Source organism: Homo sapiens, chromosome 16 (assembly GCF_000001405.40).
Source record: "Homo sapiens chromosome 16, GRCh38.p14 Primary Assembly".
NCBI classification, from domain to species: Eukaryota; Metazoa; Chordata; class Mammalia; order Primates; family Hominidae; genus Homo; species Homo sapiens.
The window spans coordinates 67,097,313-67,118,604 of NC_000016.10; the positions used below are offsets into that span (position 1 = coordinate 67,097,313).

The window sequence follows — 21,292 nt, forward strand, 5'->3', positions numbered from 1 at the left end:
AGGCGGGCAGATCACCTGAGGTCGGAAGTTCGAGACCAGCCTAACCAACGTGGAGAAACCCCATCTCTACTAAAACTACAAAATTAGCCGGGCGTGGTGGCACATGCCTGTAATCCCAGCTACTGAGGAGGTTGAGGCAAGAGAATTGCTTGAACCCGGGAGTTGGAGGTTGCAGTGAGCTAAGATTGCGCCACTGCACTCCAGCCTGGGCAACAAGAGTGAAACTCCGTCTCAAAAAAAAAAAAAAAAAAGCATCTGGGAATATAAGTGCACCCAGGACTCTAATTTTATATTTCTATTTTTAACATATGAGACAATACTTTATCCATAATAAAGTGCTACATTTTTCAGTCATATAATTAGTAGAACATATACTTCTCTGTGATTCAGTTTTTTTATTTGTAAAATAGAGATAAATAATAGCACTTATGTCATAGGTTGTTGGGAGGGATTAAATTAGTTCTAGCCAGGTCCTATGGCATGTGCCCATAGTTCTAGTTACTTGGGAGGCCGAGTGAGGCAGGAGGATTGGTTTAGTCCAGGAATTTGAGGCTGTAATGTGCTATGTTCGTACCTGTGAATAGCCGCTGCAGTCCAGCCCGGGCAACATAGCAAGACCCCATCTCTCTAAAAAATTATTTAATTCATGGAAAGTACTTACAACAGTGCCCGCAGACAGCTGATACTCAATAAATGTCAGCTATTACTAAAAGGAAGAGTTTGCTTCTAAGGCACTTGGCTAATGTGTTAAAGTTAAATCCTCTTTTTCCAAAACTGTAAATATAGATTTGTTGTGGGGTTTTTTGTTTGTTTGTTTGTTTGTTTGTTTGTTTGTTTTTTGAGATGGAATCTCACTTATGTCGTCCAGGCTGGGGTGCAGTGGTGCGATCTCAGCTCACGGCAACCTCCACCTCCCAGGTTCAAGGGATTCTCATGCCTCAGCCTCCCAAGTTGCTGGGATTACAGGTGTTGCCACCATGCCTGGCTAATTTTTTTGTATTTTTCATAGAGACAGGGTTTCACCATTTTGGCCAGGCTGGTCTCGAACTCCTGACCTCAAATGATCTGCCCGTCTCAGCCTCCCAAAGTTCTGGGATTACAGGCATGAGCCACTGCGCCCAGTGCTAGATTTGTTGTTATTTCTTATGTAGTACATATTTATGGTGATTTTCTTTTGAATAAAAATGATTTTTATTCTTGATTTTTAAGGAAACTTTAGTAAAATATGTCAGACATAATTTTAATTGGTTTTTTTTTGCCTGTTACATGTGACTATATTGGCTGAAAACTTTTTAGTTATGAAGTTTTTCTGTGTGCTACTGTCTTGTATTTTGTATATCTAGTATTTTGATTGTCAAAACACTTTTTGACCCCAAATTATGATTTTGTCATTGCAGGCAAGAAGACAACAAGACCCTAGTCCTGGTTCCAATTTAGGTGGTGGTGATGACCTCAAACTTCGTTAATTAATAGCACAGCAGATGTGTGCTGCCCATCTTTACATACACATTGCTTCTAGTTGGCAGAAATAATTGATTAAAAGACCAGAAACTGTGATAACTGGAGGTACTACGGTCTATTTCTCAACCTTAGGCAGTAATAGACATCACAAACTGCCATGGTTTTGCACTATGATTATAATACCTGCATTTCTAATTTTTTAAGCATGTAGCCAGTAATAATTTGAAGTTTTTTTTCTATGCAAGCTTACCTTGTTGGCATTATTTTAGGGAGTTGAAACTATCAACTGTAAAGCTCCTTTTCTTCCACTTTAATTTAAAAGTTCATGTCATTTAAAAACAAGTCAAGAAATTAAAATTGTATCAGAGGGTTTTCTCTAATCATTTTTTCTATTTTTTTTTTTGTACTTCTAGATGTTTTGGTTATACAGCTTCATTTTAGATGAGCATTCTTATTTTTTGTTTTGTTTGCCCCATTTCCTTTTGTGTTTTTATAGTCTATAGCATTTTAAAACTGCTGATGTTGTTTGCATTATTTACAGGCTAAAAACTTAGTAGCATAGAGCTGTCTGCCACAGCCTTCTGACAAAGTTTACAGTTATTAAAGTTGCAGTATCCTTTTAAATGCTAGTAATCAGCACTCTTTCTTTTTTTTTTTTTTAATAGAGACAGGGTCTCGCAGTGTTGCCCAGGCTGGTCTCGAACTCCTGGCATCAAGCGATCCTCCTGCCTTAGCCTCCCAGAGTACTGGGATTACAGGCTCTTTCTTTTTAAACATAAAAGTTTTAAATTGGTATTAACTCTGTACTCTGCCCTAGATTGTTTTAGCTTCTGTTCTGTAATCATGAGTTTGGTTGGAGATATTCTCCATAGATGATCTTCTACTGAAATGCCTAAAGAAGTCACAGGCTGGCTTCTGTTTTATTCAGGGATTTTTTTAAAAAGTCAATCAGAAAAGGGATACTGGAGCTTCTTCATGTATGTAACAGCATATTAAACTGGAGACAGTGATGAATCAGCTACAAAGGTAATATTGTATTAAAATCATGTTTAAGATAGCTGCTTTTATGTGTATTTTATATTGCATGCTTTTGTAAAAACATGCTGGGTGATGAAAGATTAGTTTTAGAGAGAAAATGTTCATCTGTGCAGAGGATGCATTTTCTTCCATTAATTCTGGAAAAAACGTTCACAGTTATATATATGGTATTTTGCAAAAGGACTATTAATAGAACCTTTTGAGATGAATTAATGTAAGAATATTTTTTAAATAGGCTTACTGTCAAATTGCAACTTTTTTTTTAGATACAGAGTGGAAAACAGTGCTAAGTCATTTGGCACCTCCTTACAAATATTTTTCATGGTCACATTTATTAAATGTTACTACATTTCTGAATTTTTGAAAAATGTATTTTATCATTAAATGGCATTATTTTAAAGGGTGAAAAACTGACACAGTCAATTCAGAAAATGGACTGAAGTCTGAATAAGGTCATTGCATTTAAAAAGCATATAACTGTACTTGACTGATGAGGGAGGTGTTACTTTCATTGTATATAGGTCTTATTTCATAAACAGATATCCTGTATCAAATAAAAGTATTTGTTATATATTTGAAGTTATGCATGGAAAGGAGTGTGTTTAAATTGTTACAAACAATAATGCGTCATTAAAGGCCATGCTGATCTTGCATAACTATAAGTACTATGAATGAATTTGGTTGGTTTTGGTGTTGTACAGCTCACATGTTTACACACTCAGTGCCCTAATTTCCCCTGAGGGAATCGCTTTTTAAGTGATCCTTACAGTGGTGTTTTATGTTACTTTATTACAGAGCTCCTTGGTTTTTTACTTCTGCACTTAAATTTTTTTAAATAACATGATGATGGTACATTTTCCTCTATTGTCTAGCTAAGGGCTTTCGGTCCACCAGTAAATAAGATCAAATGCTCTTAAATGTTCCTGTTACCATCCTAATGTAAATACTGGATTTTTCTGTCATTTAGCACCATGCTGCTTCTGTCTGTCTTAATGCTGGCATTAAGATCATGAGCCCTTTTTCTCCAGTAGTACAGGCTTTGAAAACTACTTCTATTAAGTTATTGATGCAATTTGATATTTTTTCATAATCTATATTTAAACAAAATTACATCATTGCATCATCTTTTCTAAATTCATCTCCATTAAAACTTGCCTTAAGCTACCAGATTGCTTTTGCCACCATTGGCCATACTGTGTGTTTGTTTGTTTAATTTACTTTCACAATAAACTTCTGTGTAGTAAAAACAGGGTCTTGGCTCTTTCTTGACCTAACCCAGTAATTTCTAAGAAAGCAACAACAGTGGCATCTAGTGGTAATTTCTGTTGATTCCAAAGAAGACTACTTTAAATATAGGTATCACAAGGTATACAAATCCCCCAGTGTATATTATGGTTTTCAAGAAATCTGGCTTGATTTACCCATCCTGTGAGATATGACCATAAAGTAGTGATGTTGGGAGAAAGAATTTTAAATTACACATCCAAATTAGTTCCATCTTTCAAGCTAGTTGTTTTGGAAATATACAGCCGTTTTGATTGTGCTGGTGTTATATCAAACATTCTTAAGACTCCTGGCATTTTCCTACAACAGAAAAGTAAGCCCTTTTCCTTGAAAGTATGCCTTAAGCTTGACACATGATAAACAGATTCACTCATTAACCACAAGACTTACTGCAAATGACAAAAATGCCTTTAAATTCTGAATTGACACCATTAAGGGAAATTCCAAAGAGTAGGATTCATGCTCTGAGAGTTAATTTCAAAAAATTGAGCAGTAACAGCATGGTTTTAGTAAGTATATCACTTCTAGAAACATAATTGGATATGCTAGCTCGGGGCTGCTTGGTGAAAAATATCTTACTTGATTTATGCCTCATTTGGCAATGAGGAGCTTTTCAATCTATAAACCATTGTATTATCCATAACACATTACCCCAAAACTTAGCAGCTTAAAACAATAAATACGTATTATCCCACAGGTGAGTCACAAATCTGGAAGTAGCTAAGATCAATGGTTCTGGTTCAGAGTTCCTCATAAGGTTAGAGTCATCCTGGGCTACAGTCATCTCAAGGATTGACTGGATGAAAGATCCCCTTTCAAACCCACTAATGTGGTCACTGACTGGCCTCGGTTCTTTGCAGCTTGCTAGATGAAAGGCAGATGTTCCTTGCTAGATGTTGGACAGAGACCTGCTTCCATTTCATGCCCAGCTGGGTCTTTCCATAGGACAGTGCACAGCAGGGTAGCTGGCTTCCCCCAAGGCAAGTGATCCAAGAGAGCGCACACCCAAGTTGAAAGCACAGTCTTTTTTTTTTTTTTTTTTTTTTTTTTTTTGAGATGGAGTCTCGCTCTGTTGCCTAGACTGACTGGACTGCAGTGCTGCAATCTCAGCTCACTGCAACCTCCCCCTCCCGGGTTCAAGCGATTCTCCTGCCTCAGCCTCCCACGTAGCTGGGATTACAGGTGCCCATCAACATGCCCGGCTAATTTTTGTATTTTTCATAGAGACGGGGTTTCACCATGTTGGCCAGGCTGGTCTCAAATTCCTGACCTCAAGTGATTCGTCCGCCTCGGCATCCCAAAGTGCTGAGATTACAGGTGTGAGCCACCATGCCCAGCCAAAAGCACAGTCTTAGAACTGAATCTTGGGCTGCCATATTGTATGTTAGAATCAAGTCACTGGGTCTGGTCCACACTCAAAGGGGGAGGAATATTAAGCTTCATCTGTTGAAGGCGGGGATGTCAAAGCATTTGTGGACATCTTTCTAAACCACCATGGTGATATTACCAAATATACGTAACTGAGTATAAGATACCTTTGGTGTTTTGCCGGGCGCGGTGGCTCACACCTGTAATCCCAGCACTTTGGGAGGCCGAGGCAGGCAGATCATGAGGTCAGGAGATCGAGACCATCCTGGTTAACGGTGAAACCCCGTCTCTACTAAAAATACAAAAAATTAGACGGGTGTGGTGGCGGGCGCCTGTAGTCCCAGCTACTCGGGAGGCTGAGGCAGGAGAATGGTGCGAACCCAGGAGGTGGAGCTTGCAGTGAGCCAAGATCGCACCACTGCACTCCAGCCTGGGCAACAGGGCGAGACTCCATCTCAAAAAAAAAAGATACCTTTGGTGTTTTAATCTAAACATTCTTTAAAGGTAAGATTTCAGTCTTGCAGATTTGAATACATGATTCCCCCTAGATAGCATCAACCCCTTTTCTTGCATCACCATCATATATTCATATATGGCATTTCAGAAATGTTCCAAAGCTAAAAAATGACAGTCACAGGGTGAAATCATGGATGGAAATGGCAGTTTAGTTTGTTTAAATATGGAATATTCTGAAACAGATAAGTCACTGTTTTAGTCAACTCCCAGCTTTTGGTTAGAAAATTTAAGCAACTTAGAATTAAGGTCGTTATTGGCCTCATTCAGATTTCAGAAATGTTGAGGAGATGTTGTAGATAAAAATAAAAGGCCAGGCACAGTAGCTCATATCTGTAATCCCAGCACTTTGGGGGGCTGAGGCAGGAGGATTGCTTGAGGCCAGGAGCTCAAGACCAGCCTGGGCAAGATAGCAAGACCTTCATCTGCACAAAAATATTTTTCTTAATTAGCCAGGCATGGTGGTGCACACCTCTAAGTCCCAGCTACTTGGGAGGCTGGAGTGGGAAGATCGCATGAGCCGAGGATTTTGAGGTTGCAGTGAGCTATGATCTTGCCACCGCACTCCATCCTGGGCCACCAGAGCAAGATATTACCTATAAAAATAAAAATGGAAAATGTTGAAGTTCTATTTTTTTTTTGGAGACTAAAAGTATGGTTATCATTTAGGGGGGGAAATATCCAGTGTCCAAAATAAACATGTTCCCTGCTCACAAGGAATCTACAGTCTAGCTAAAAAGCTGACCAAAGGCAGTAACACTGTTTAAGTTACATTAGAAGTACTGGCTCTTATAGTACATCTATTCTAGTCTGGGTGGTGAATAAAAGCTTCCCTAAAGAGATGTTTTGAGGGTGGGTGCGGTGGCTCACGCCTGTAATCCCAGCACTTTGGGAGGCCGAGGCGGGTGGATCACAAGGTCAGGAGATCAAGACCATCCTGGCTAACATGGTGAAACCCCGTCTCTACTAAAAAATACAAAAAATTAGCTGGGCGTGGTGGCGGGCGCCTGTAGTCCCAGCTACTTGGGAGGCTGAGGCAAGAGAATGGCATGCACCCAGCAGGCGGAGCTTGCAGCGAGCCGAGATTGCACCACTGCACTCCAGCCTGGGCGAAAGAGTGAAACTCCGTCTCAAAAATAAAAAAAGAGATGTTTGAGCTAAGATCTGAAGGATGGCAGACCTTAAGCTAGCTAGAGAAGGTATTGCAGGTAGCTAGCCAATAGCTTGGCAAGTTTGAGAAGCTAAGAGCAGCTGAGTATGACTGGAACAGAAAAGAGGGGGCTGCAGCAGTGAGATGAATCCAGAAGGGCAGATTCCACCCAGCAGAGGGCAGGGTAAGAGTCACAAGCAGTGCTGGACTGGCCTTTCCAACCGTGTTAAATAAAACATTTGGACCATTCCCAAGGGTGAACAGGAAGCCATTGAGGGCTTATGACCTTGATGGAATCGGTGCTTGAGAAAACTCAATTTTGTTTGGGGAGAATAAGACTGGAGTCAGAAACTTGGTCCCACTGATCATACGATATAGTAACACAGGAAGATTAAGGGTAGCTTTGTTGGCATGGAGACATTTCAAAGCTATAAACAGTACAGGAGGCATAATTGACAGTTTTCCCAATTTCTCTTATCAGTCAGGATAGGCTGGTTATGTTGCTTTGTTTTGTTTGTTTGTTTTTTGAGATGGAGTCTCATTCTGTTGCCCAGACTGGAGTGCAGTGGTTCAATCTCTCCTCACTGCAACGTCCGCCTCCTGGGTTCAAGCAACTGTCGTGTCTCAGCCTCCCGAGTAGCTGGGATGACAGGTGCCCGCTAATTTTTTGTATTTTTAGTAGAGATGGGGTTTCATCATGTTGACCAGGCTGGTCTTGAACTCCTAACCTCAGGTGATCCACCCGCATCGGCCTCCCAAAGTGTAGGGATTACAGGCGTGAGCCACCACGCCTGGGCTGGTGTGTTGCTTTAAAACACCAAAAAAATTTATTGGCTTAAAGATTTATGTCTTATATGCTAAATACTCATCAGGGGTTGACCTAGGCTAACAAAGCAGAACTGGAGGACTGCCAGCCATTGTGACAGAACCAAGAAAGAAAACAGGTAATGAAACAGGCATTGGCTTTGAAAACTCACCTGAAATTGATACACGTGACTTCTGTTTTCAATGGACCAAGCAATTCACAGCCACACCCAACTTCAGTTGCGCAGGGAAATGCAACCCTTTTTGCCCAGGAGTCAGAATATTTGTGAATTGCTCTGATGACTACAACAGGCCACTGTTTCAATTATTTTACTTTCCTTCCTTCAAGAAAATACACATCATGGAAGAAAACCTAAAAGTGCCTGCTAGTCAGGCAATTGAGCTAAAATTGTGTGTGGAGACCAGGATCTACGCACCCAGTACACAGTGGTGGGACAGGGACAGAAAAATTGCAGGAAGCACTTGCCTTCAGAAAGGGGAAGAATGAAGTCACCGGTCAGTAACAATTATGAAATGACACTGGAAACCATTTGAGGGCCCTCTGCCCTAACAGAGGGGAGTGTTCTTTGTAAGGCCTATTAGGATGGGTTCCCTGCTCCACCATTTTCCATGACTTTTAGCCCCATCCCTCATTTGCTGTACACATTACCTGTCATTCCTGCTTTCAAACTGGCTTTAAAAAAAAAAATCTAACTGGGCGCGGTGGCTCACACCTGTAATCCCAGCACTTTAGGAGGCTGAGGCAGGTGGATCACCTAAAGACAGGAGTTCAAGACCAGCCTGGCCAACATGGTGAAACCTCGTCTCTACTAAAAATACAAAAATTAGCTGGGCATGGTGGCACGTGCCTGTAATCCTAGCTACTGGGGAGGCTGAAGCAGGAGAATCGCTTGAACCTGGGAGGCGGAGGTTGCAGTGAGCCGAGATCTCACCACTGCACTCCAGCCTGGGCAACAGAGTGAGACTCCGTCTCAAAAAAAAAAAAGAAAAAAAAATAACTTGGCAAATGCAATTAATAAATAACCATGGTACTAAGATTGTTTTCCAAGTTCTTCAAGTAATGTTTCAAGCTTGTTACATTTCTTCCCTTCCAAGTTATCACGTGACAGTTTTACCAGAAGGATTGACATCCTTCCAAACGCCAATGTCAGTTCCTCCAATCACCGTCCTTCCAGCTACCCAAGCTGGGAAAACTATGTCGTTATTCTTGACTCCCAGTCTCTCTCATCTCCCACATGCAATCTGTAAATCCTGCCAGTGGATTCCATCAATTCTGTTACTATTAGATGTTTTAAAATTTTAGTTATACACAAAGCAATTACCTGTAAGCCAGACACACAAGTACAGACCTCCTAACAAATCTGTGAGATTGTTACAGATTTTACAGAAGAAACTAAGGCATGGAGAGGCTAATTAACTTGTCAAGGCACAAAGCTATTAAGTGGCAGAACTGGGATTCAAATTTTGAGTCCCTGAGCTTAATCACCATGTTCTGACCTGAAGCTGTCCCTGCATGTCTGGCTTTGACTGCTACCATGACTACTTGCCCTCCCTGAATATGCTTTTCATTAGCCAATTCCATATTTCTGAACATCCCTACCCTCAGTTTGGGGGAATGGCTGTAGCTGACATTCTCCTGAGTTGGCCTGCTCCTGCCAGGCACCTTCTGCTTCTATTGTGTGTGTGTGTATTGGGCTCTGGGCCAAGGCCTCCTAATATCACCATCCCAAAGCTGTTATTCCCACCTTGGATAAAAACCTGGGTGAATCAACATTAAATGAGCAAAGATAAACTTCTGTTTATTTTTTTAGAGATACAGTCTCATTCTTTTGTTGCCTAGGCTGTACTGGAGTGCAGTACATAGCTCACTGCAGCCTCAAACTCCCAAGCTCGGCCGGGCGCGGTGGCTCACGCCTGTAATCCCAACACTTTGGGAGGCCGAGGCGGGCAGATCACAAGGTCAGGAGATCAAGACCATCCTGGCTAACACTGTGAAGCCCCGTCTCTACTAAAAATACAAAAAATTAGCCGGGCGTGGTGGCGGGCCCCTGTAGTCCCAGCTACTCGAGAGGCTGAGGCAGGAGAATGGCGTGAATCCGAGAGGCGGAGCTTGCAGTGAGCCAAGATGGCGCCACGGCGCCACTGCACCCCAGCCTGGGCGAGAGTGCGAGACTCCGTCTCAAAAACAAAAACAAAAAGCAACAACAACAACAACAACAAAACTCCCAGGCTTAAGTGGTCTTCCCACCTGAGCCTCCTGGGTAGCTGGGACTACCTGCATGTGCCACCACATCTGGCGTGTGTGTGTGTGTGTGTGTGTGTGTGTGTGTGTGTGTGTGTGTGTACGGGGTCTTGCTATATTGCCCAGGCTGGTCTCAAGCTCCTGGCCTCAAGCAATCCTCCCACTTCAGCCTCCCAAAGTGCTGAGATTATAGGCATGAGTTACCACACCTGGCCAGATAAACTTTTGTTGTTGACTAACATTGTTCACAGAAATCTGCCTACTATTCCAACAGGGAATTTCTTAGGGCGCTCCCCGACAACTTTGTTCTTTCTGTTTGGGGGTTACCCAAATTAGAAATCCTTTTCACTTTGTTATCCAGAATGATGTGGTTTCTTCTTTGTCTTGCCTCTGGTACAACCCCACTGGGCTTATCCCACAACCCCACTGGGCTTATCCCACCCCAATTTAGGCCCCACCCATCTTTCTCCTCCAGAAATAAGTCCCCTCCAAGTTTTGAGAGAGTCTTGCTCTGTTGCCCAGGCTGGCATGCAGTGGGGTGATAATTGGCTCACTGCAACCTCTACCTCCTGGATTCAAGTGATTCTCGTGCCTCAGCCTCCCAAGTAGCTGGGACTGCAGGCATGCACCACCACACCTAGCTATTTTTTCTATTTTTAGTAGAGACGGGTTTTCACCATGTTGGCCAGGGTGGTTTCAAACTCCTGACCTCAGGTGATCTGTCTGCCTCGGCCTCCCAAAGTGCTGGGATTACAGGCGTGAGCCACCGCGCCCAGCCAGACACTTTTAATTGACTAAGATTGCTCCTCACCAATCTTAAGATTTTTCCCCAGATTTCCTTCCCAAGCTATCTAGCCCAGCTGCCCAACTAGGCTTTTCTAAACATATCTTTAATGCTTGTCATGATAAGGAATAATGACCCCCTGATTCCTGTCCTCTGCCACTCTATTAGGTATGATTGACAATGTTTTATTTTTCCAGAAATGTTCTTTCTTTTTGGTACAGCCACTGTTTCTTTTATTTTTGTTTTTACAGAAAAAAAGGCCGGGGGAGGGGGGTGGTGGGTGGTCATGGTATGCATACTTCTGCACCTGGCTTTTTTCTCTTGGAGTTCCTTCCACATCAACATAGAGACCTACTTCACTTTTTATTATTTATTTATTTATTTAGAGACAGGATCTTGCTCTGTCATCCAGGCTGGAGCCCCGGGGCTCAATAATCACAGCTCACTGCAGCTATCCTCAAGCTATCCTCCCACCTCTCAGCCTCTTGAGTAGCTAGGACTCCTGGCCCAACCTACTGCCATGACACCAGCTAATTTTTTTTTTTAATAGAGACTGGGTCTTGCTATGTTGCCCAGGCTGGTCTCAACTCCCGGGCTCAACCGATCCTCCCACCTCATCCTCCCAAAGTGCTGGTATTACCGCTGTGAGCACTGCTCTCAGCATTCACCTTTAAAAACATATCTCTATCTATCTATCTATCTATCTATCTATCTATCTATCTATCTATCATCTATCTATCTATCTATCTATATCACGGTTTATTTAGCCACTTCCCTACTGGACATCTCAGTGACCCAGTTCTGTTGTTTTGGCATACAATGCTGCAGTGGACAACCTTCTCCATGTAGTTCATTTTAATCAAACAGCGACTTCAAATTTTGATAGAGCCTCCAAAGAAACGCTAGTATCAAGCCAGTTTGAGAATTTAGTATGCCACTCTCTCCCCTACTGAAAACCTTCTTCCAGGGGCAATGTAATGGAAAGGACTTGGGTTCTGCGCCTAGAACCAAGGAGCCTTGGGTCTTTAACATCTCTGGGCCTCATGTATTCGCCTATGTAAAGTCGGTATAATCTCGCATCTCAGGTTGGTTGTGAGAACCCAGAGACTGCCTCCGTGAAGGCTTGGCATCAGCATAGGCCTCGGCTGTCCTTTAGTTTCAGGGTGTCCCGGGGCACGGGCCAAAACCTCAGGCTGAACCTGCTAGAGGAACCTTCCTGTCCCTTGCAGATTAGGAAAACTGTGGCACAGAAAGCGCCAAGGGGTTGATCAAGACCCCCACAGCTTTGGTCCACGCTGCTGCCGGCGGCTTCGGATCCTGGTCCCGGGGGACTGCGCACATTTGGATGTGGTCAGCAGGGAGGCCTGGCCTGGCCCCTTCCTCTTCTACCCAGTCCTCTCCCCGAACCAATTCCGACCCCTAACGCCCACAGTCCTCACTCGCTTACGGTTCGACCCTTGCCCCAGGGGCGACTGGGTGGGGCCGTCATTCCTGAACAACTAAAAGCTGCTGCGGCCAGCGTCACCTCCGGCCCCAACGGAGACGGTGGGGGCCGTGAGGCTTAGGGACTCCGCGTCCTCCCTCCTGCTGGGCCTCAGCGTGCCCTCTGTACTTGCCTTCTGCTACCAGTGAACGTGAGTGGGACGTGTGTGTAGACAGCAGACGGGTCTTGTGCAGCTGTGTGACGTGTGTGTTGTGTGGTGAACCCTTCTTTATGTAGATATGTGAAGTGTGTGTGCTGTGGTGCACAGATGTAGGGGCTCACGAAGTACTGGGCTCCTTGCTCCTAGAGCCCGAACAGTTCCCAACGTTACAGCCCTGCCCGACTCAGCCTCCGCAGAGACGGCGGCGGGACCCGCAGTTTGCGCGTGCGCGGCTCCGCCCCAGGCTCCTCCCTCGCGCTGGCACTCCCGCCTTCGCCCGGCCCTCCCCGCGCTTTACGGCCCGGCACGCCACTTTTACTGCAGTCGCGCCCGCCGCCGTCGTTGCCCCCGCTGCCGCGGCTGCTGCAGGTGAGGTGAAGTGAGGTGAGGTGTGGTGTTGGGCCGGTGCTGCTGCCGCTGCCGCCGGGGAGGAGGTGGAAAGCGGGGCTGTGGCGGGCCGGCGGGGGCGGCCTGTCAGCCGCTGCTTTGTCTCCTTAGCTCGGGTCCCTTCTGCGCTGCCGCAGGGAGGCCGCCCGGGCCAGGCGAGCCGAACCAATGCTGGACCTGGAGGTAGTGCCCGAACGCTCTCTGGGGAACGAGCAATGGGAATTCACGCTGGGTGAGTTTGGGGTCCTCTGTCAGGACCCCATTCGCTGATCCTTGCTTTCTCCTGGGCTCTTCCCACCTGTTCTCAGTCTCTCACGCCCCTGCGCCCGCAGCTCCTCACCTCTTTCGTCCTCTCGGCTCGCTGGGCTCCAGGCACTAGATACCCGCTCCAACTGGCCCGATTTGCCTGTCAGTTGCTCGTCTCGGGTCTCAGCAGGGTCTCTTCTGGGACGGTGGAACAGTAGTAGTAAAGACAATAATAGCTTGCTCTCCCCAAATGCCTAATGCCCGGCCCTGCTCTTTTTGGACGTAATTCTCTCTAGTACCCCTCGCCGGCACCTGAGGATAGGTACTGTTGTTATTCCCATTTCCATTTTACAGACTAAATAATGGCTGAGAAGTGGCTGACCCCTCTGATCATCACTGTGGCCTGTGGTCTGTCTCCCACTGCTTTTCTGGGCTGTGGCTTCCTTCCCCTTTTTAGGAGGGGAAACCTAGGCTTGGAACCCATGATCAGATGTTGGGGCTCTGGTCAAGGGAGTTGAGTTTGTGTGTATTAAAGGAACAGCTGACTTGCTTCTCTCTTTTTTTTCTTTTTTTTTGAGACGAAGTCTCGCTCTGTCGCCCAGGCTGGAGTGCTGTTGCGTGATCTTGGCTCACTGCAACTTAACGCCTCGTGGGTTTAAGCGATTCTCCTGCCTCAGCCTCCCCAGTAGCTAGGATTACAGGCACGCGCCACCACACCCGGCTAATTTTTGTATTTTTAGTAGAGACGAGGTTTCACCATGTTGACCAGGCTGGCTGGTTTCGAATTCCTGACCTCGTGATCCGCCCACCTCGGCCTCCCAAAGTGCTGGGATTACAGGCGTGAGCCACTGCACCCGGCCCCGCTTCTCTCTCTTTTGAAATATAGTCTGTATCGGATGCTGTAATCCTAAACCCAGACCTCAGTTGTGACAGGTGAAGGTTGGATGAAATAGGAGTTAGGGAGAAGTAACATTTAGTTTCTAAAAAATGCAGTTTGGTCGTTTTGGGGTTTGCTGGCCCAGCCTTCTCCCTTCACCCTCTCCATTTCCAGCATCACTACTTTTATGTGTACAAGGATGTTTGCATTCAGTAACCCCTGTGTGTTTACTTTGATGTCCCAGCACTAAGAAAAGGGGGTGGGGTAGGTGTTGGTGCTGTTTGTTTGTGCAGGCCTGAACTTTAGTCACTCTAGTGTGAGCTACTGGACTAAATCAGCTGCTCCATTGGATTATAAATTATCCTTGACTCTGGAAGACTTATGTCTGTGGAGACAGTGTGTTGGAGAAACCAGGTGGTACAGATTGCTGGTAAGGCCCTGCTGATGCTTAGTGGCTACATATGTCCTGTGTGTTGTAAGAGCTAGTTTTTGTTGTTGGTGTTTTGTTTTAAGACAGAGTCACTCTGTTGCCCAGGTTGGAGTGCAGTGGCACAATATCGGCTCACTGCAACCTCTGCCTCCCGGGTTCAAGCAATTCTCTTGCCTCAGCCTCCCTACTAGTAGCTGGGATTACAGGCGTCTGCCACCACACCCGGCTAATTTTTGTATTTTTAGTAGAGATTGGGTTTCGCCATGTTGGCTAGGCTGGTCTCGAACTCCTGACTTCAAGTGATCCGCCTTGGCCTCCCAAAGTGCTAGGATTACAGGTGTGAGCCACCATGCCCAACCATAAAAGCCGGTTTAATTTAGGGGAGTTGGCCAAATTCTTTCATAACTTAACACCACTCCTGCAGAGTTCTTTCCAAAATATTAGCTGGTACAAAATGCTCCATTCTCTCGTGAAGCACTAAGAGCTTGGTTGGAAGGCTGGTGATACCATGCTAATGCTGTTTGGCTTCTGGTTAACTCCTTTCCTCCCCTCTCCTTGACAGCTTCTACCCAAGCAAGATCCTCCCACGGCTGGATAAAAACCACAACCATAGCTTCAAACTGTGCTTAGTAGTGTGACTAGGTTGTGGATCTCTTGGTGGTACAAGTATTCAGAGTCCCTTGGTCAAAAGCAGTGGTAGGGACTGGGTGCAGTAACTCATGGCTGTAATCCCAACACTTTGGGAAGCTGAGACAGGAGGATAGCTTGAAGCCAGGAGTTCAAGACCAGCCTAGGCAACATAGTGAGACCTCGTTTCTACCAAAAAAAAAAAAAAAAAAAAAAGCCAGGCCTGTAGTCTTAACTACTCGGGAGGCTGAGATGGAAGGATCACTTGAGGCTGGGAGGTCAAGGCTGCCGTGGGTCATGATCACACCACTGGGCGTGATCCTGGGTGACAGAGAGAGACCCTGTCTCAAGGAGACAAAAAAAAAAAGTAGTTACTAGGATATTAATTGAGATGAGGATTTCCAGAAAACTGAGTGAGAGAGCAAGGCTTCTCTCAGCTGTTGTTTTGATACCCTAACCCTGACTCCTAGCTCTGCTAGTTTCCCAGGAATCAAGGGTTTACACAGTTCTTACAAACTGTCTAAATAGCAACCAAAAACAGTGAGAAGGGCATTTCTGTATATTGGGTCAAGAATTGAATTTTAGGGGGAAGCTCATAGACTGGCCCAGAGGCTTCATGATTCCCTTGGGTCTTAAAATTCATTTTTACATGGTGTCTGCCTGAGAGATGGTGTTAATTTAACTTTATCAGACTTTAAAAATGGAAAGTCATTTTCCACCTCTGTCAATCTCCTCCCCCACCCTGAACACGTCCAAACTACATTTGGGGCTGTTAGGTAGGGATAGGTCTCGGAAGGGAATCTGCTTTAGAATTACATGCCTAGGCTAGTGAACCAGGAAGAACTTACCTCTTGCCACCACAGGCTTGTAAGATAGGTGTTGTTATCTCTTTTTGCCAGGTGAGGGACAGGCTCAGAGAGAGAGATGATAAACAAAAGTCGCCAAACAGGCATATCCTGCATGCCACTGCTCTTTCCTTCTGAAAGTGGACTCAACTTTGTCACCAGGTTTCTTATTGGAATCTGTGCAAATGCAGATGCAATTATCTGCCTGGCATCACAATGGGAAGCTGCATCCTGGCAGCTCCTTGGCTGCCTTCCTGGTTGTATAATGTTGGATGATTAGGGAAATGCGAGCAACACAGGGAAAGGAAAACCTAGGCCAAGCAGAATCTCTGTGAATATGAATGTCACTGATGATTTGACCAGCAGTGGAGTAAAGGCAGTGCAGATTTGAAATGTTTTGTTTTCTTTTTTTCTTTTTCTTTTTTTTTTTTTTTTGAGACGGTGTCTCACTCTGTTGCCCAGGCTAGAGTGCAGTAGCGTGATTTTGGCTCACTGCAAGCTCCACCTCCCAGGTTCATGCCATTCTTCTGCCTCAGCCTCCCAAGTAGCTGGGACTACAGGCGCCCGCCACCACGCCCAGCTAATTTTTTGTATTTTTAGCAGAGACAGGGTTTCACCGTGTTAGCCAGGATGGTCTTGATCTCCTGACGTCGTGATCCGCCCACCTCGGCCTCCCAAAGTGCTGGGATTACAGGCGTGAGCCACCGCACCCAGCCTCTTTTTTTTTTTTTTTTGAGACAGAGTCTTACTCTGTCGCCCAGGCTGGAGTGCAGTGGCGTGATCTTGGCTCACTGCAACTTCTGCCTCTTGCGATTATAGGCTTGCGCACACCAGGTAATTTTTTACTTTTAGTAGAGATGGGGTTTCACGATGTTGACCAGGCTGGTCTCGAACTCCTGACTTCAAGTGATCCTCCCGTCTCGGCTCCCAAAGTGCTGGGAGGCATGAGCATTTGTGCCGGGCCCTGAAATGTTTTCAATGAGAGTTGCAGAATGTATTGATGCAGAGGCAAGTCTCTGAATTTGTTTTTGAAATTAGTCTTGAAAGGGACTAAAAAAGGTAGATTTAAAGGGTCAGTGAAGAAAATACCTTCTCCGAGATTACCTTGTTCCACAGAGACTGAAGGCTCACTGTGTTGAAGGCATCATCTACCTCTGTGAACTCTGCTCACAAACATTGAAAATAAACAGTGCACAGTGACTCATGCTTGTACTTTGGGAGGCTGAGGTGAGGGGATCACTTGAGCCAAGAGTTTGAGACCAGCCTAGGTAACATAGTGAGACCCTGTCTCTATTTAAATAAAAAATAAATAAATAAAAATTTAAAAAAAAAGAAATGATCTTATTCCCTGAAGAGCTTAGTCTAGTGATAGAGAGGGATTATAGAAATAGTTCCTTTTATTATAATCAAGTAGAAGATGTATAGGGTACTGTGGAGGGGAAGAAGAAGGGACTTGACCTGACCTAGGGGTTCAGAGAAGGCTTCCTGCCAAACAACAGGAGCTGGAAATCTTCCAGTCGAATGAAAGAAGAAAAAAAAAAAAAACCACAGGAGAAAAGGTAGATGATGTGTGCAGGGAACTATAAGCAATTTGGTATTATAATTAGAGCATGATGTACTGGTAGAAGAAGAAAATGGATTTCCCAGAGTCCCAATTCTGTTTGGTTATAGCTGCCTGGGATACTATCAAGGATACTTTGTGTTGGAATCTGTGCAAATCTGTGGAAAAAAGGATATGTATTAGTGAAGTGTATTGTGGGCTTTCGTTTAGGAAGAACTGGATTTGGAGAGGTGGGGAAGAAGGAGGAATCTAGAGGTTTCTGACTTGAGAAACTCTGTATGATGTTGGACATAGATATTGAGACCTAGAATACAGAGAAGATGAAAAGATCACTTTTAATCTGTTGGCTTTTATTTGCCTTTAGATGTATACAGAAAACAGATGGAGATATGAGTCAGAAACTGGGTGGTTAGTTGAACCAGGGATGAGCAGAAGAAACATAGCCTATTGGAGAGACTTGGAAAAGTTAGAGGAGAGTAGTATTGGTGGAGAGACAATAGGAGTTCAAGAGAAGGAGGGTGGTCAACAGGATTCGTGGTATAGGACCTAAGTGTTCTACCTAATTGCTTTGTTTCACAGATGTGCATGACCACCTACAGCTGTGCCAGGCACAGTGATTGGGTGCTGGGAGGTATTGAGGTGAACAAGACAGACAAGGTCCTACCTCTGTGAGGATATAAGGGAGACTAACAGATAAATAAATGGTATGAGAGGCTTCATTGAATAAGGCAGTGAGGGAAGTGAGGTGTGACCAAGACCTAAAGTGCGAACAAGAGGCAGCTTTGGGTAGAGCATTCCAGATTCCAGCAGCAACAAGAGCTAATTCAGAAGCCTGAGGTGAGAAGGAGCTTGACGTGTGCAAGTAACAAAGGGTGAACAGTGGAAAGAAGATATAGATGGGTAAGATCCAGAATATTCAGGGCCTTTGGTGATGACATGGTGTTTGGGTTTTATCTGCCTGCAATGGGAAGCCATTGAGAGGTTATAAGCAGGCAAGTGCTGAGATCTGTGAGACAAAGATTTGTGCGGTTTAGAAGGCTGACCATTCTGTTAGAGCTGGGATAGTGCTCCTGTTTCTTTGCCATTCATATAGTTAGTTCCCTTTAGAGATCTTTCGTAGCCCTCCTTTACCAGTAGCTGTGTGATGACCAGTCACCATGGCTGCTTCGTCTCCTCTGGGTGAGTTTCTCCCTGGGTGACTCAGGATCCTAAGATCCTAAGATGCTGAGACATCCTTTGATGTGGTAAATGGAATCCTCCCTCAAGAAACTGGCATGGGCTGGGAGCGGTGGCTCATGTCTATAATCCCAGCATTTTGGGAGGCCGAGACGGGAGGATAGCTTGAGCTCAGGAGTTTGAGGCCAGCCTGGGTGGCATAGCAAGACCCCGTCTCTTTGAAAAAAAGAAAAAGAAACTGGCATGTGCCACGTGGATCAGAGAAGCCATGCGGCCTTCCTCTTTCTTGACATCTAACTAACTGAGTTTCTCTGTCTTCTGCACGTGGATGTTTGTCCATTCCTCCTGGGAATGACAGCATAGATGTTCCTCCATTTAGGAATGGCAAAGGTGAGGGATGCATCCAGCTTGTTCATATTCTCAAACATTTATTGAGTCCCTACTGTGGGCCAGGTTTTATGCTATGGAAGGCTGAAAAGTGCTTTTTTAAAGATTATAAGTCAGCCTTGTGATGATTGCCTTCAACTTTCTTCAGACTGAAGAATGGCCTCTCAGATGAGGGTAGAATCAGATTGTTTAAATGTAGATGAGCCATGAGCTTTTTACCTTCTAATTAATTCTTCATTTGTCAGCTCTTTTTTGCATATCGCATCTCTTTGACCTGGAGGCCAACTGATTTAAATGTGAACTGACTGCCATCGGATGAAGCCATGGTCCCTTTTCCTTCCTTTCTCTTGTCACCCACTCTACAATCCATCAGTCCCACTCAGTAAATATTTATTCAATAGTCACTGTATTGGCCACGTGCGGTGGCTCACACCTGTAATTCTAGCACTTTAGAAAGCGGAGGTGGGAGGATTACATGAGCCCAGGAGTTCAAGACCAGTCTGGGCAACACAGTGAGACCTAGTCTCTACCAAAAATTTAAAAGTTAGCCAGTTGTGGTGGCACATGCCTGTAGTCCCAGCTACTCAGGAGACTGAGGTGGGAGTATCTCTTGAGCCTGGGAGACAGAGGTTTCAGTGAGCCAAGATTGCACCACTACACTCCAGCCTGGGTGACACAGTGAGATTGTGTCTCAAAAAAACAAAACAAAACCAGTCACTGGGTGGTTAGCTCTGAGCAGGGTACAAGGGATCCAGAGAGTGGTGAACAGCAGATACATTGTTTTTGTATTCATTAAACTATGAGTCTTTGTTTTTTGATTGCCCAGGACCTGTCTCTATGTGTGTTTCTTCTTGTTTAAATTATAATGGACTCTGGAAACAAACTTTTTTTTTTGAGACGGAGTGTCACTCTGTCGCCAAAGTTGGAGCGCAGTGGCACGATCTCAGCTCACTGCAACTTCTGCCTGCCAGGTTTAAGCAATTCTCCTGACTCAGCTTCCTGAGTAGCTGGGACTACAGGCACACACCACCATGCCCAGCTAATTTTTTTTTTTTTTTTTTTTTTTGTATTTTTAGTGGAGACAGGGTTTCACCAAGCCGGCCAGGCTGGTCTCAAACTCCTGACCTCGTGATCCGCCTGCCTCGGCCTCCCAAAGTGCTGGGATTACAGGTGTGAGCCACCGCGCCCAGCCTGGAAACAAACTTTTTGGTGGTCTCAGTGAGTCCTTAGACTGTTGGAGATGTCATTGGAATTTGGATTACTTAAACTGGAGGCATATGTAAATCTGCTTATAATGGGCCATGAGTTAAAGAACCAAGTGTTAAGAGTTAGATATTCAGGCCGGGCACAGTGGCTCATGCCTGTAATCCCAGCACTTTGGGAGGCCGAGGCGGTGGATCACGAGGTCAGGAGATCGAGACCATCCTGGCTTACATGGTGAAACCCTGTCTCTACTAAAAAATACAAAAAATTAGCCAGGCGTGGTGGCGGGAGCCTGTGGTCTGAGGCAGGAGAATGGCGTGAACCCAGGAGGCGGAGCTTGCAGTGAGCGGAAATCGCACCATTGCACTCCAGCCTGGACAACAGAGCGAGACTTCAGACTGCGTCTCAAAAAAAAAAAAAGAGATATTCAGGAATGCCTCGCCCTGTTGCTTTTTTTTTTTTTTTCCTCCTGAGACAGCACCTGGCTCTGTCACCCAGGCCAGAGTGCAGCCTCCACCTCCCAAGCTCAAGCCATCCTTTCACCTCAGCCTCCTGAGTAGCTGGGATGACAGGGGCACACCATCATGCCTGGCTGATTTTTTTTTTTTTTTTTGAGATAGAGTCTCGCTCTGTAGCCCGGGCTGGAGTGCAGTGGCGCAATCTTGGCTCCCTGCAAGCTCCACCTCCCAGGTTCATGCCATTCTCCTGTCTCAGCCTCCCAAGTAACTATGGGACTACAGGCGCCCGCCACCACGCCCGGCTAATTTTTTTTTTTTTTTTTTTTTTTTCTTTTTTAGTAGAGATGGGCTTTCACCATGTTAGCCAGGATGGTCTCGATCTCCTGACCTCGTGATCTGCCCTCCTCGGCCTCCCAAAGTGCTGGGATTACGGACGTGAGCCACTGCACCTGGCTGCCTAGCTAATTTTTTTGTATTTTAATAGGCATGAGCCACCGTACCCTGCCCCTGTTGCTTTTTTTTTTTTTTTTTTTTTTTGAGACAGAGTCTTGCTCTGTCTCCCAGGCTGGAGTGCAGTGGCGCTATCTCGGTTCACTACAACCTCTGCCTCCTGAGTTCAAGCAGTTCTCCTGCCTCAGCCTCCAGAGTAGCTGGGACTACAGGTGTGTGCCACCATGCCTGGCTAATTTTTGCATTTTTAATGGAGACAGGGTTTCACCACGTTGGCTAGGTTGGTCTTGAACTTCTAACCTGATGATCTGCCCATCTCGGCCTCCCAAAGTGCTGG

The 21,292-nt window shown here is 45.2% G+C and overlaps 2 protein-coding genes across 19 annotated transcripts in view, besides 3 other annotated features; both read left to right on the forward strand.

Annotated features, from left to right (window-relative positions):
* The window catches only part of CBFB (core-binding factor subunit beta), a 71,910-nt gene extending 68,164 nt beyond the window's left edge, over positions 1-3,746 (forward strand). For all 6 annotated transcript variants that reach the window (NM_001755.3, NM_022845.3, NM_001368710.1 and 3 more), the window contains one exon: positions 1,398-3,746. In NM_001755.3, the coding sequence (NP_001746.1) occupies positions 1,398-1,420 (23 nt within the window). In that variant the 3' untranslated portion in view covers positions 1,421-3,746. The remainder of the gene's footprint in view (positions 1-1,397) is intronic.
* Positions 11,461-12,203: an enhancer, noted in NCBI's record as "H3K27ac-H3K4me1 hESC enhancer chr16:67142676-67143418 (GRCh37/hg19 assembly coordinates)". NCBI's record gives its function as "activates a minimal SCP1, AML or CMV promoter by ChIP-STARR-seq in naive H9 embryonic stem cells {active_cell/tissue: H9 hESC(naive)}" and the evidence as "EXISTENCE:reporter gene assay evidence [ECO:0000049][PMID:30033119]".
* Positions 12,204-12,945: an enhancer, noted in NCBI's record as "H3K27ac-H3K4me1 hESC enhancer chr16:67143419-67144160 (GRCh37/hg19 assembly coordinates)". NCBI's record gives its function as "activates a minimal SCP1, AML or CMV promoter by ChIP-STARR-seq in naive H9 embryonic stem cells {active_cell/tissue: H9 hESC(naive)}" and the evidence as "EXISTENCE:reporter gene assay evidence [ECO:0000049][PMID:30033119]".
* Positions 12,505-12,764: a silencer, noted in NCBI's record as "silent region_7579". NCBI's record gives its function as "represses an Ori minimal core promoter by ATAC-STARR-seq in GM12878 lymphoblastoid cells {active_cell/tissue: GM12878}" and the evidence as "EXISTENCE:reporter gene assay evidence [ECO:0000049][PMID:35858748]".
* PHAF1 (phagophore assembly factor 1) overlaps positions 12,629-21,292 on the forward strand; it is a 38,604-nt gene continuing 29,940 nt past the window's right edge. For 5 of the 13 annotated variants that reach the window (XM_006721284.4, NM_001320541.2, NM_001320543.2 and 2 more), the window contains exons 1-2: positions 12,629-12,692; positions 12,807-12,927. In XM_006721284.4, the coding sequence (XP_006721347.1) occupies positions 12,864-12,927 (64 nt within the window). In that variant the 5' untranslated portion in view covers positions 12,629-12,692; positions 12,807-12,863. Of the gene's footprint in view, positions 12,928-14,126; positions 14,249-21,292 lie in introns of those variants that run through there. The other 8 variants (XM_017023729.2, NM_001320542.2, XM_017023731.2 and 5 more) reach the window with 4 other exon arrangements.